This window comes from Homo sapiens, chromosome 1, assembly GCF_000001405.40.
Source record: "Homo sapiens chromosome 1, GRCh38.p14 Primary Assembly".
In the NCBI taxonomy this organism is placed as follows: domain Eukaryota; kingdom Metazoa; phylum Chordata; class Mammalia; order Primates; family Hominidae; genus Homo; species Homo sapiens.
Genome location: NC_000001.11, coordinates 197,738,341 through 197,752,729, shown reverse-complemented (window position 1 = coordinate 197,752,729; position 14,389 = coordinate 197,738,341). Strand labels below are relative to the sequence as shown.

Below are 14,389 nucleotides of genomic sequence, written 5' to 3'. Positions count from 1 at the left end.
CCAATATGGCACATGTATACATATGTAACAAACCTGCATGTTGTGTACATGTACCCTAGAACTTAAAGTATAATAATAATAAAGAAAAAAAATTAGTCTTTGAAAAAAATTTCTATTTTGGTGTTTTTGCCAAAGAGCTACTAAACTCAGGGAAAATCAGAAGTTAGTGTTTTCAATATATTTCTGATAAAATTGCTTTATTACAATTACATCTTCAATGTATATAGAAACTTAATTTAGTTGAATTATACTGATACTGTTGTTTTAAACGTTTGATAGAATTCACCCATGAAGTTACCTAGGCCCAAATGTTTCTTGTGGGAAGGATTTTAATTATGAATTCAAATTCTTTAGCAGATAAATGATTAATCAGACTTTTGGATTCTGCTTGTGTCAGTTTTGGTAATTTTCAAGGAATTTGAAATTTAAACAAAATTCAGGAATTTTATTTAATTGTGAAAGGTATTGGCACAAAACCATTCATAATATTTATCTTTTTAATTTTCATAAGATCTGCAGTGATAAGCCCCCTTTTCTTCCAATATTAATAATTCGCATATCACCTCTCTTTTTTTATTAGTCTTGTTTAGGAGTTTATCAATTTCATTAATATTTTCAGAGAGCCAATAGAGTATTTTGTTCATGTCTCCATTTTCTGTTTTCATTGATTTCTGCTTTCTTCCTCCTCTTCTCCTTCTCCTCCTCCTTCTCTTCCTTCTTCTCCTCCTTCTACTTCTTCTTCTTCTTCTTCTCCTTCTCCTCCTCCTCCCCCCTTCCTCCTCCTCCTCCTTCTTCTCTTTCTTCTCCTTCTTTTCCTTCTCCCCTCCTCCTCCTCCTCCTCCCTCCTCCTCCTCCTCCTTCTTCCCCTGCCTTCCCTTCCCTTCCCCTCCCCTCCCCTGTCTCTGTTTCCCAGGCTGGAGTGTAGTGGCACGATCTTGGCTCACTGCAACCTCCGCCTCCTGGGTTCAAGTGATTCTCCTGCCTCAGCCTCCTGAGTAGCTGGGATTAGAGGCACATGCTACCACGCCCTGCTAATTTTTGTATTTTTAGTAGAGACAAGATTTCACCATGTTGACCAGGCTAGTCTCGAACTCCTGACCTCAAGTGATCCACCCACCTCGGCCTCCCAAAGTGCTGGGCTTACAGGTGTGAGCCACCGCGCCTGGCTGACATTTATTATTTTCTTCTACTTTGGATTTAATTTTTTCTAGCTTCTTAATGTGGAAGTTTAGAGTGTTAATTTTTAAACCTTTCTTTTTTTCTAATGTAATCATAAATGTGTAAATTGACTTTTAAGCAGTGTTTTAGCTGTGTCCTACAAATTTGGATATAGTGTGTTTTCATAGTTATGTAGTTGAAAATATTTTCTAGTTTCACTTGTGACTTCTTTCTTGATCCGTGGGTTATTTAGAAATGAAGTGCTTACTTTCCAGATATTTGAGATTCTTTGTGATATATTTTTATTAGTTATTTTTCATTTGATTTAGGTCAGAGAACATACTCTGTATGACTTCAATCCTTGGAAATATGAGATTTGTTTTATGGCCCACGAGGTGGTCTATCTTGGTTAAAATTCAGTGTGCACTTATATAGAATATATATTCTGCAGTTGTTGGATGTATTGTTTAAATGCCAGTTAGATAAAGTTGATTGATAGTGCTTTTCGAACCTTTTATGTTTTTATTTTTTGGATCTGTTTCTTTCACTTACTGGGAGAAGAGTGTTAAAATTTCCAACTGTAATTGTGGGTTTCTTGGTTCCCTCCTTTAGTGCTGTCAGGTTTTGCTTCATGCATTTTGAAGCTCTGTTGTAATAAGCATACACATTTACAACTATTATGTCTTCTTTATGAACTAACCATTTTAACATATGAAATTTCTCTCTGTCTCTCTGTCTCTGTCTCTTTTTCTCTGACAGAGAAATTTCATATGTTAAAAGGGTTAGTTCAAAAGGTTGTTTCTTTATTGTGGTTTTCAGAAATTTGCTTGTGATGCTTTTTGTCTTTACTTTTATATGAATAGAACTGCTCTGCCTTCCTCATAATTAGTGTTTGCATGAAATTCTTTTTCCATTCTTGTTTTCTAAATTGTCTTATGTCTAAACTATGTCTATATCTTTATCTATCTATCTATCTATCTATCTATCTATCTATCTATCTAGGTTTGCTTTTCTATCCAGTCTAACAATCATTGCCTTTAATTAGAATGTTTGATACATTTGTATTCAGTGTAATTATTGATATGGTTAGGTTTAAATTCATTATCTTATTTGTTTTATGGTTGTACTTTTGGTTTTTGTTTGGATTGTTGTTACCTTTTTGCTTCCTTCTCTTCTAGATTAATGTATTTTTCTTTTTTTTAGTATTTTATGCTTTTCTCTTCTCTTGGCTTTGTTTTTAGTAGCTCTAAGGATTACATTGTACTTGATGATTATGTCATATCTATTGTGATCATATCTACAGTGAATTAAAATTATGCCACTGTGAGTATAAGAGCCTTCCAAGAGTTCACTTATATTTTACTCCTTTCCTTCCTTTGTGCTATTGCTGTCATACACTATTTTTTCTATATGAAAGAAAATCCTGGCCAGGCCTGGTGGCTCACGCCTATAGTCTCAGCAGTTTGGGAAGCTGAGGTGGGAGGATTGCTTGAGACCAGGAGTTTGAGACCAGCCTGGCCAAAATAGCGAGACCTCATCTCAACAAACCATAAAAGAATTAGCTGGGTGTGGTGGTGTGGACCTGTAGTCCCAGCTACTCTGGAGGCTTAGGGGAAGGATTCCTTGAGCCCAGGAGCTCCAGGCTGCAGTGGGCCCTGAGGGTGCTACTGTATTCCAGCCTGGGCGACAGAGCAAGATCCTGTCTCAAAAACAAACAAACAAACAAACAACAACAAAAAAACCCAAAAAACTTCACTATAAATTGAAATTATTAAGTAAGAGAATCCCCATAATTATTTTTGTTTAGACAATCAGTTCCTTTTTTAAAAAGTTAAGAAATGAAAAAAAAAATCTTATGTACCTACTATTTACCATTTCTTGCATTCTTCCTTTATGTAAATTTGAAGTATGATCTGGCCTCATTTTCTTTTAGCCTGGAGTATTAATTGTACATCAAGTCTGCTGGTGACACATTCTCTCAGATTTTATCTGAAAATGTCTTTATTATATCTTAATTTTTGAAGGATAATTTACTTGGGAATAGATTTCTAGTTTTTTTCTTTCAGCATTTTTAATAATGTTCTGTTGTCTTCTGGCTTGCATAGTTTTTGATGATACCTAAGCAGAAGTTTTTAATCATTATCTATGTGATATCTTTTTTTTTCCTTTGTCTGCTTTTAAGGTTTTCCCTTTTTATTGTGGTTTTCAAAAATTTGGTTGTTATGTGCTAGGTTTAGTTTTCTTTGTATTTATCCTGACTGGGACTTTTTGAGCTTCTTGGGTCTATAAATTTATATATATGTACATACATATTCAGAAAAGTTTTGAACATTATTTTATTGAAGCTGTTTTTCTGTTTATCCTCCTTTATTCTTTTTCCCTTGGGGACACAGTTCATGTGTGTTAGACTGATAGTGTTTCATGAGTCACAGGGACTCTGTTTTATTTTTCTCAGTATTTTTTGTTTCTGTGTCTCGGTTTGTACAGTTTCAATTATTCTGTACTTAGGTTCTCTAATCTTTTATTCTACAGTATCCAATCTGCTGTTAAGCCCATACAGTGAATGTTTTTGTCTCAAATAATGTATTTTTTAAATTGTAGATTTTCGTTTTGAATCTTTTTAATAGATTCTGTTTTTCTACTGAGGATCTCTATCTGTTAATTCATTCTATCTTTTCCTTTAAATACTTAGATGTAGTTTTAATAGCTTGTTTTAATTTCTTGTTTTGCCATAACAAATTACCATAAACATAGTGGCTTAAAATAATATAAATTTATTATCTTACAGTTTTGGAAATTAGAAGGCTGAAATGGTACTCACTGAGCAAAAACCAAGATGTCAGCAGGGCTGTGTTTCTTTCTGGAAGCTCTAGGAAAGTGTTTTCTTTCCTTTTTCAGCTTCTAAGGGGCTGCCTGCCTTCCTTGGCTCTTGGCCTCCTTCTGTCTTCAAAGCCCACAATAGCCGATGAGTCTTTTTCCTAGTTTGTCCCTCTGATACTGACACTTCTGCTTTGTCTTCAACATCTAAGGATCTTTGTGATTGTACCACTTGGATAATCTAGGATATGCTCCCTATTTTAAGGTCAGCTGATTGGCAACCTTAACTGCATCTGCAATCTTAATTCTCCTATGTTATATAATACAGTCACAGGTTCTAGGCATTAGGATATAGATATCTTTGAGAGGCCACTGTTCTGCCTACTGCATAACTCTTTTTAAAAATTCTTCTTTGGTAATTCTAATATCTGTTTCATTTTGGATTTGTTTCTGTTTACTTTTCATGCCCCCACCCCCCCACCCCTACTTCCCTGATATTTTGTTGATTCCTTGCATGTCTGATAATTTTTTGTTACACGCTGAATATTTTGGATATCATATTATTGACCGTTTGAAATTTATCTTTTTTAACTAAGTATCACATTTTGTTTTGTTGGGCAATCAAATTTTTGATGGACCAATTAGATCTTTTCAATGTTTGTTTTTAATCTTTAGGTGGGTCTAGAGTATTTTACCTCTAAGGCTAAAGTAGCCTTACTCCTAAGCTGTGTGTCAACAACTGTGTAGAGTTTGAGATTTTATTCTATTTACGTGCTAACTGGTTAGCCTCTTATGGTTTCATTGATGCTATCAGAAGACATGAGTTTCCATGATCAGAAATAGAGGACTTTATTATCTATGGCACAAGTGACATGAGCATCAATAATTTGTGTCAGTTTTCCTTGCCCCTGAATCACAGGAGTGGGGTGTGAATGCACCCAGGTGGTTGCCTGCAAATGCAGTTGGATACGTTATAGAAGAGGAACCCTGAGTGTAGGAAACCCAAGTAGCATGTAGTGTGCAGTAAGCATGCCTGCTTTTTGCTGTTGGAGGCAGATACTTTAGGCAAATCTTGTTTTATTACACTTTGCTTTGTTGTGCTTTTTAGGTATTGCATTTTTTAAAAACTGAAGGTTTGTAGCAGCCCTGCTTTGAGCAAGTCTACTGGTGCCATTTTTTTTTAACAGCATGTGCTCACTTTGTGTTTCTGTGTCACATTTTGGTAACTCTCCCAATATTTAAAACATTTTCTGACGGGGTCTTAAGATGGCTGCCAGGTGACCGCTTCCTGACAGACGAAAAGATGTGGAGTGGGCTGCTACCTCCTGGCCTAAATGAAAGTGATGTTGAGTGAAACTCTGAAGATGAAGCTACATTGCAGAACTCTGGACTTAACTCACAAGAAGATAAAGAGGATGGGAGCATCAGAAAAACAGAAATCATAGATTCTCGATAGATGAACCCAAAACTGAAACAGAGTCGAATGTAAATGCCTATGAAGAGTGTCCTTCTGGAATTCCCCTAGATATGTAGAATATATTTCAAGAATTGCATAAAAAACATTCTGAACAGAAAAACGCAACCTCAAGATTCAGAGGGAAAAAAAGAAAACGCTCCAGAAAAGATAAATTGAGGAATGAAAAAGAATCTCACAGTGAACAGTTCTCAAATGAAACCCAGTGGAAGGAGCTTACTCAGTATTTTGGAGTCAATGATTGATTTGAACGCCATGTTAAAAGGAAAAATGTTGAGAAATCAGGCCTTGAAGAGAGGATAGACCAGGCTGTGGAGGGGTGGAATATTGAGAAGACTGAGGAACTCAGAAAAACCAGCTAGCTACTCGAGAGCTTGGTGTAAAGATTGCCAAAGCAGTTGCCTGCCACAACTTTGTAAAAGCCAAAAAGGAGGTTGAAAATTCACAGGCTGCCCCCAAAAAGAAGAAACTTGCATGGGGGTTTGAAGCAAAGAAGAGATGGGAAACCCAAAGTGACATGGGATATGCATAACTTGCCAGAGTGCTTCAAGACATTTGTGGACTCAAATGCTCAATTTACTGAGAACGTTTTCCAGCCTGTGTTAAATATGTCAGAAAATTGATAGCACTAGAACAAAAATAAGCATAAAATTTGGGAGTTTGATTATCAGCTCTTTTCAATCTTTCTCTAAGGGCTTTGTCGTACTGAAGTGAATAAAATGAAGCATTCTCATATTTGTATAAGAAATGTAAGAAAAAATATAGAAAAATAGGATAGAATTTTGTTTATTTATTTGTATAGACCCATGGTATAAAATCAGTTTTGCTGTTTTTCGTTCATTTGGTTTAGTGTAGTCAGTGATCTTCTCATACTTTCTTTCTTTCTTTTTTTGAGACAGTCTCTGTCACCCAGGCTAGAGTGCGGTAGCATGATTTTGGCTCACTGCAACCATTGCCTCCTGGGTTCAAGTGATTCTCATGCCTCAGCCTCCCGAGTAGCTGGGATTACAGGCAAGTGCCACCATGCCCAGCTAATTTCTTTTTGTATTTTTAGTAGAGACGGGTTTTGCTGTGTTGGTTAGGTTGGTCTTGAACTCCTGGCCTGATATGATCCATCTGCCTTGGCCTCCCAAAGTGCTGGGATTACAGGCATGAGCAAACATGCTGGCCTTGTACTTTCTTATCTGTATCCAGTGTAACTACACGTTTTCTGGTACTGTGTTTTTAAGATTAACAGTTGTTTATAATGGATTAGTCGTAAATGCCAAAAAGTTTCAATTGACACTGTCTTTACAAATGACTTGACCTTAATGTTATAAAAGGAGTTACTAATTTTTTTATTGGAAGCAGTAGACTTGATATTTCAGAATTGCATAGTAAAAGCAATTTACTAATTTTTTTTGTACTTTCAGATAAACTGTTACAATAAAGAAAGGGGCAGAATGTAGTATTTGGAAGATGATTTAAATTCAGCAATGCCTAAAAATGTCTTCCTAAGTATCTTTCTCAGCCATGCCATTCTTTAAATTATGGGATGGTTCTTAGAAGTGAAAATGGTGTAATTGTATTAAGCAGACAGTTATAACTCAAGATAATATAACTTTGAACCTTCTAAAAATTTTCATTATTATTATATATATTATATATATATATATATATATATAATATATATATGGTGATCTGTTATCAGTGATCTTTGATGTTATTGTTGTAATTGTTTTGTGGTACCATGAACCATGCCCATATAATATGGCAAACTTGATTGATAAATGTATGTGTTCTAACAAGAGAGATGGGGCACCCCAGACCAGCTGTTGCCCCATCTCTCTCCCTCTCCTGGGGCTCACTATTCCCTGAGACACAACAACATTGAAATTAGGCCAATTGATAACCCTACAATGGCCTCTAAGTGTCCAAGTGAAAGGAAGACTCACATGTATTTCACTTGAAATATAATGCTAGAAGTGATAAAGCTTAGTGAGGAAGGCATTTAAAAAGCTGAGATAGGCTGAAAGCCAGGCCTTTTGCACCCGACTAACTGTTTGTGTCAGGTTGTGAATGCAAAGGGAAAGTTCTTGAAGGAAATGAAAAGTGCCACTCCAGTGCACACACAAATGATAAGGAAGCAAAACACCCTTATTGCTGAGGTGGAGAAAGTTTTAGTGGTCTGGATGGAACCATCCACAAACCATCCACAACATTGCTTTAAGTCACAGCCTAATCCAGAGCAAGGTCTTAACTCTCTTCAATTTTGTGAAGGCTGAGAGAGATGTGGAAGCAGCAGAAGAAAAATTTGAAGCTAGCAGAGGTTGGTTCATGAGATAAGGAAAGAAGCCATCTCTGTAACATGAAAGTGTATATGGTGAAGCAGCAAGTGCTGATGTAGAAGCTGTAGCAAGTTATCCAGAAGATCTAGCTAAGATCATTGATGAAGGTGGCTACATTAAACAACTGATTTTCAGTGTAGATGAAACAGCCTTATATTAAAAGAAGATGCCATGTAAGGCTTTCTGAGCTAGAAAGAAGTCAGTTACTGCCTTCTGAGTTTCAAAGTACAGGCTGACTCTTGTTATGGGCTAATGTAGCTAGTGACTTGAAGTTGAAGCCAGTGCTCATTTATCAATTCAGAAATCCCAGGGCCCTTACAAATTATGCTAAATCTACTCTGCCTGTGCTCTATAAATGGAATAACAAAGCCTGAATGACAGCACATCTGTTTGTAGCATGGCTTATCGAATATTCTAGGGCCACTGTTAAGACCTACTGCTTAGAAAAAAAGATTTCTTTTAAAATATTGTTGCTCATTGACAATGTACCTGTTTACCAAGAGCTCTGATGGAGATATACAAGAAGACAAAAGTTTTAATGCTTGCTAACACAATATCCATTCTGCAGCCCATGGATCCAAGAGTAATTTTGACTTTCAAGTTTTATATCATTAAGTCTAAATGTAAGAAATACATTTTGAAAGGCTATAGATGCCCTAGATACTGATTCCTCTGATGGATCTTGGCAAAGCACATTGAAAAATCTCTTTGGTGAATGGAAAGGATTCACCATTCTAGATGTCATTAAGAATATTTCATGATTCATGGGAGGAGGTCAAAATATCGACATTAACAGAAGTTTGAAACAAATCGATTCCAACGTTCATGAATGACTTTGGAGGGATTTAAGACTTCAGTGGCGTAAGTAACACAGATGTGGTGGATATAACAAGAGAGCTAGAATTAGAAGTAAATCCTTAATATGTGACTGAATTGCTGCTATCTTATGATAAAACTTTGATGTATGAGGAGTTGCTTCTTACGGATGAGCAAAGAATGTGATTTCTTAAGATGGAATCTACTGGTGAAGATGCTCTGAACATTGTTGAGATGACAACCAAGGGTTTAGAATATTACATAAACTTAGATGATAAAGCAGGGAAGGGTTTGAGAGGACTGACTCCAATTTTTTTTTCTGTGATGGGGTCTTGCTATGTTGCCCAGGCTGGCCTTGAACACCTGGGCTCAAGCAGTCCTACTGCCTCAGCCTCCGTAGCAGCTAGGACTTCAGGCCTGCACTATTGTAACCAGCTTAGATTGACACTACTTTTGAAAGATGTTCTACTGTGGATAAAATGCTATCAAACCACATCTTATGGTACAAAGAAATCTTTTGTGAAAGGAAGAATGAATTGATGTGGCAAACTTAATTGTTGCCTTATTTTAAGAAATTCCACAGCCATCCTAGCCTTCAGCAACCCCCAGGCTGATCAGTTAGCAGCCATCAACACTGAGGCAGACCCTCCACCAAAAAAAAGATTACAACTTGCTGAAGGCTCAGAAGATTGTTAGCATTTCTTAAAGCAATAACATATTTTTAAATTAGGGTTTTTTACATTTTTAAAGACATAATGCTATTGCACACTTAATAGACTACAGTATAGTGTGAACATAACTTTTATATGCACTAGGAAACCACAAAATTTGTGTGACTTGCTTTATTGTGATACTCATTTTATTGAGTTGATCTGGAACTGAACCTGCAATATCTTCAAGGTATATCTGTATTTCTGTCTTCCAAGGCTATAAGGTAATGTGCGCTCTGCTTGGGATGGAGACTGTTTTCTAAGGGTGTTTGATTTAATCTTGTTAATATCATGTTAATAACTTAAAACTTTGTTAATGATTACTTCCCTTGTCAGTCAGTCATCCTGGAAAAGATAGTCTGGAATAAAACCCAGTCATCTATCTGGGCTCTAAAGAAGTGAAGTGAAGTGAGAGACCCCTGGAATTGTCTCCTAACAGTGTGACCTTTCTGAGGTGTCTCAGTTGAATTCCTCACATGTCCATGGTTTTATCTGCTTGTTCTGTCTCTTGGTTCTATGTGACCACCAGAATCTCCATTCAGCTATTCACTGCCAGACATTGTCAAGAGTGTCACCCTGCACATATGCAACCTAGTGTTTGGCCAGAGACTTAATATGACCCTTATACAGATTTCTGATGCTCCTTGTATTTGATATTATCTTCCACAAATTTTGCTTCATCTCCAGACTTTATTCTCTTTTTCCGCTGCTCAGAAAGACTGTAGTTTTTTGTGTGCTACAGTTCTGAAAGTGCCTTCAGACAGAAAGCCAGGGAGATTGTAGTGCTTTTTTTCCCAGAGACCACAGTCTTGCTTTTCCTGTTGCTCAACTTTTAAAAATATTTGTTTCAAATATTTTGTACAGTTTTACTTTATTTTACATTGTTTATAGTGGGCCAGCTGGTTTGTGCCTGTTACTGCCTCATGACCAAAAGTGAAGTCTCCTATCACTTTAATTTGCATTATTTATGAATATACAGTATTATGCCAGCTAGACTGCAAGATTGGTAAAGTCAGAGATGTTATCTTTTCTTCTTTTAAAAATTATTTAGAGTATTATATAAGTGGGTACTCAGTAAATGTGTCTTGTTCCACAAAGCACACAGTAGAAATATGAGACTAAAGTATAAAAATTCTGTCCCTTGATATTATTGTTATGGTAATGATGAGAATTAGGATGTTATATGACAGATTAGTTTGTGGTTATTTACCTCTAGGTAAACATATGCCTACAGTTGATAACATAAAGCATTTTATGAACTGAGTTTTTGAAAGAAAAAATTACTAAAGAAATTAGATTGCTATGTTAGATGGTATCGACCAAGACTTGAAATAGTGCCATTGTATTATATTTAACATTTCTCCTTGTAATGTAAATTTGTGTACTAATTTACGGATTGAAAGGGATTTTACATATATTATTTTAAATTAATTTTGATTTTCTCAGCAACTCTCTATGTTAGGTTCAGTAGCTATCCTCATTTTATTGAGCAAATTAAAGCTCAGTGAAGTTCTTCCATACTTAAGATTCCAAAGTTATAAAGTGGAAGAGCTGAGACTGCAAATCGAATCTCTAAATGAAGTTTAATGTTCTTTCTGCCTTTCTGCATACCATAGGTGTGGGTTGCCACGTTTATTTTAGTTCTTTTTTTTCTTTTTGAGTGTATGTAGTTTATGCCCATTTTATTCATTCTGTGTATAGGATTATGAAACTGAAATTTTAAATTCTTTACCTGGTGAGATTGTATAGATACCAATGTTTTAAGTTTTGTGCCTGTTAAATATTTGAAACTACTTTTAGAAGTTTTATTAAATAGTAAATCTTTGGTAATGGCATAAAAGGTATGTTTTTGTGTTACTTTATAATTACTTTAAATTGTCAATTTGATAATTAGGTTCAAACGATTGTGCAGAAATGTGTTAAAGATTGTGTATTGACATTCTCACATTAGGCTTGTTCTACTTTGAAGATTAATATTCTAACATTAGAATTTTAAAAGTATATTTGTAGTTTAAAACTGCTTTAATGATTATTTGCTCTATAAATATGCATAAATAAGGATGGCATCATTGTAATCGCTTTAAACCCTTTTTTGGGTAATACATCCTTAGTTGGGTTGAGTTGGAAGTGATGATCTTTGGAATATGCACATGAATTAATTGGTTACTCTATCTTGGGATATGTCAGAAGTACTACTGCTTCAGTGAGAGGACTCTGGCAGGAGATGTTATTTTTTACCAGCCAGCGGTGTTTATCTTGATTTGAAGGAAGCAAGCTTTATCAACATAGAGGATAATGATTTACTTGTCTTATCCTTTCTCTTTGTAGCCTAGAGAAATTCCAGAAAATAGTCTTTTTTTCTTTTTTAGGAAGAAAATATAGTCTTCATATGAAAAGCTTTGTGTGCTTTTCTGATCAAAATACAGAAGGATTTTTATCTTTTGATCTACTAAATTTACTTATCAACATAGGTGTTAGCTTTGCTTTTCACTCCTTCCTTCAAAATTGTAGGACAGAAATTTGGAAGTCAGGAAAGCAAGTGAATGTGACAAATGCTTATTTATCTTGCAAAAGTGCTTCATAAGTATAGTCTTTTCTTCAGCTTGTCCTTCATACCATTGATAAACTGGACTTTAAAGAACTTATTAATGAAGGTGGCAATTTAGTTCTGCCTGAACCAACAACTAGTTATATGATCTTGCATAAATCATTTTTCCTTTCTTGACTCAAGTTCCTTCAGGTAAACAAAAGCTATAGACTATCCAAAAGCCCCTTGTAATTTAAACATTCTGTCATTTTAATTGTATTATTGTTTAGTTCTTCAACTACATTATCAACTCACTGAAGCAAGGATTTCATCTTCCTTTTGATAGTTTTCAAAATATATTGTGTAGCATATTCGATACAGTAATAGAAATTTGTCTACAACCTCAATTCTCAAACCTTGACTTTCTGAGACTCAGTCTTCCCCATATAGGGATCTCTTGCTCATAATTCCTTTTTTATTCATCCCTCTGCCTTTTCAAATCATTCAAATAAAAGACTTGCCAGGGACCCACAAGGCTCCATATAACTGGCTCAAATCCCCCTTGTTTACATTTCTAACCTCATCCTTTCCCACTTTTCTCCCTTGCTCTCTTAACTGCAGCCACACTGGCTTCTTGCTATCCCTGGAACAACATCAAGCATGCTCCTTCAAGGGTTTGCATTTTTTGTTTACTTCTAATACACTTTCCCAAGATATCTGCACAAGTAATTTCTTTACCTTTTTCAAGTTTTTGCTCATTGTCAGTGAGTCTCACTTTAACCAACTTAACAGAATTAAAATCGCACTCTCCTTCCTTTTGCGCTCATAATTAGGTTATATGCCTGCCCAGCCCCAAATCAAACACAAGTTCAGGGCTGTAGTGATTGTCTTTGCTGATGCAAAATTATATTTGATAGTGCAAAATTTTCATAGGGTAACTGAAAGGAACTGTTAAGAATATCTTAGCACATTACATATTCTAATTTAGAGGTAAAGGTCTGATTTCTTAGAAATTGGTGGAAGCATTTTAAGACTCAATTATGTTTTATTAAGATGAAATCATTTGCTTATTTTCCATCTGTATATCTTCTTTGGTGAAATGTCTGTTCAGCTCTTTCTCTTATATTTTCTTTATTGGGTTGGTTTCTTATTACTGAGTTTTGAAAGATTTTAATATATCCAGGATACAATGACTTTGTTGGATTTGCATTTTTTTCTCCCATCTGTATTTTGTCTTTTCATGCTTTTAACTAACATTGTCTTTCACAGAGAATAGTCCTTTCTTTTGATCAGTTTATCAGTTTTGTTTTTATTTTCATTTAGAGTTCATTTAGATTTTCATTTCCTTTTGATTTCTTCTTTGACCGTTGGGTTATTTAGAAGTATGTTATTTAAGTTACAAATATTTGGGGATTTTCCTGTGATGTTTCTGTTATATTTTGATAATGTAATTCCAGAGAATATCATGGTATGGCTTGAATCCTTTTAAATCAGTTAGGACTTGCTTTATGGTGCATTATATGATTTCTTCTCGTATATGTCCCATATGCACTTAAGGTTTTGTTTTAGATTACAGTTAAGTTATTTGGAAACAGTTTGAACATTTGAGGCTTGCTTTTAAGCTTTGGTAGGTGAAACCAGAGTCATCTTCAGTCCAGTGCTGATTTTGTCCCACTGCTAAGGTGTTACCCTCTGAGTACTGTACAGGATACTCTTGTTGATTATGAGGTTTTCCCACTCTGGGTGGTGTGAATGTCAGCTGATCCTGGGATTTCCCCCCCATTTCTTTTGGGTGATTCTTTCCTCAGTGTCTGGTAGTTTCCTCATATGTGTGCACTGATCATCAGCACTAAAGTCTTGGGTGGGTTGGTGGTGAACCTTCTGCAGCTCTCCAGAGCTCTATTCCTGTGCAGCTTCGTCTCTGTTCTCTTTGTGGAGTCTAGATGCTTTGGCCTTCCAACCTCATCTCAGGAAGACCACTGGGCTCTGCCTGGGTTTCTCCCACCTTGTGCCACATCCTGGAAACTCCAGATATTAAGACCAATTGTAAGGCTTACCTTGTTTGTTTTATCTCTGTCAGGGATCACTGTCCTGCATTTACTAATGTCTGAAAATTGTTTAATGTATTTTTTTAGATTTTTAGTTGTTAGAGAGAGAGCAAATACAGTTTGTACTTTCTCTTGGCTGGAAGCAGATGTCCTGTTTATGGATGTAAAAGTGCTGCTTTAACATTCTGCATCTATGGTTAGAAGAAAAGCTATGGTAACTAAGTACATGGGTAAATAATGTTTGGGAATATAGTTACCATGGAAGTTCTGAGGATCTTCTGTCATCTTTCTGCCAAAAAGTGATTCTGCATCAGCATCTTCCATGTTGTGTTTCACAGTTAATAACCCAAGTCTTCTATGAGAAAGAAACTGGCCAGATTAGGTCATGTGTTTGACTTATCAGCTCTGGCCTGAGGTCACATTCACCAATTGTGGATGCAACTACTGAAAACCCACCCTGGGTATAAGATGTAGTTCCCAGAAACGAGGGAATTGTTGTGACCTGGCTGTCA

The 14,389-nt window shown here is 35.8% G+C and overlaps 1 protein-coding gene and 1 pseudogene across 16 annotated transcripts in view; both read left to right on the top strand.

The window, feature by feature from the left end:
- DENND1B (DENN domain containing 1B) overlaps positions 1 to 14,389 on the top strand; it is a 277,403-nt gene that overhangs the window by 29,421 nt on the left and 233,593 nt on the right. The window lies entirely within an intron of this gene.
- Positions 5,227 to 6,175, top strand: FAM204BP (family with sequence similarity 204 member B, pseudogene; annotated as a pseudogene).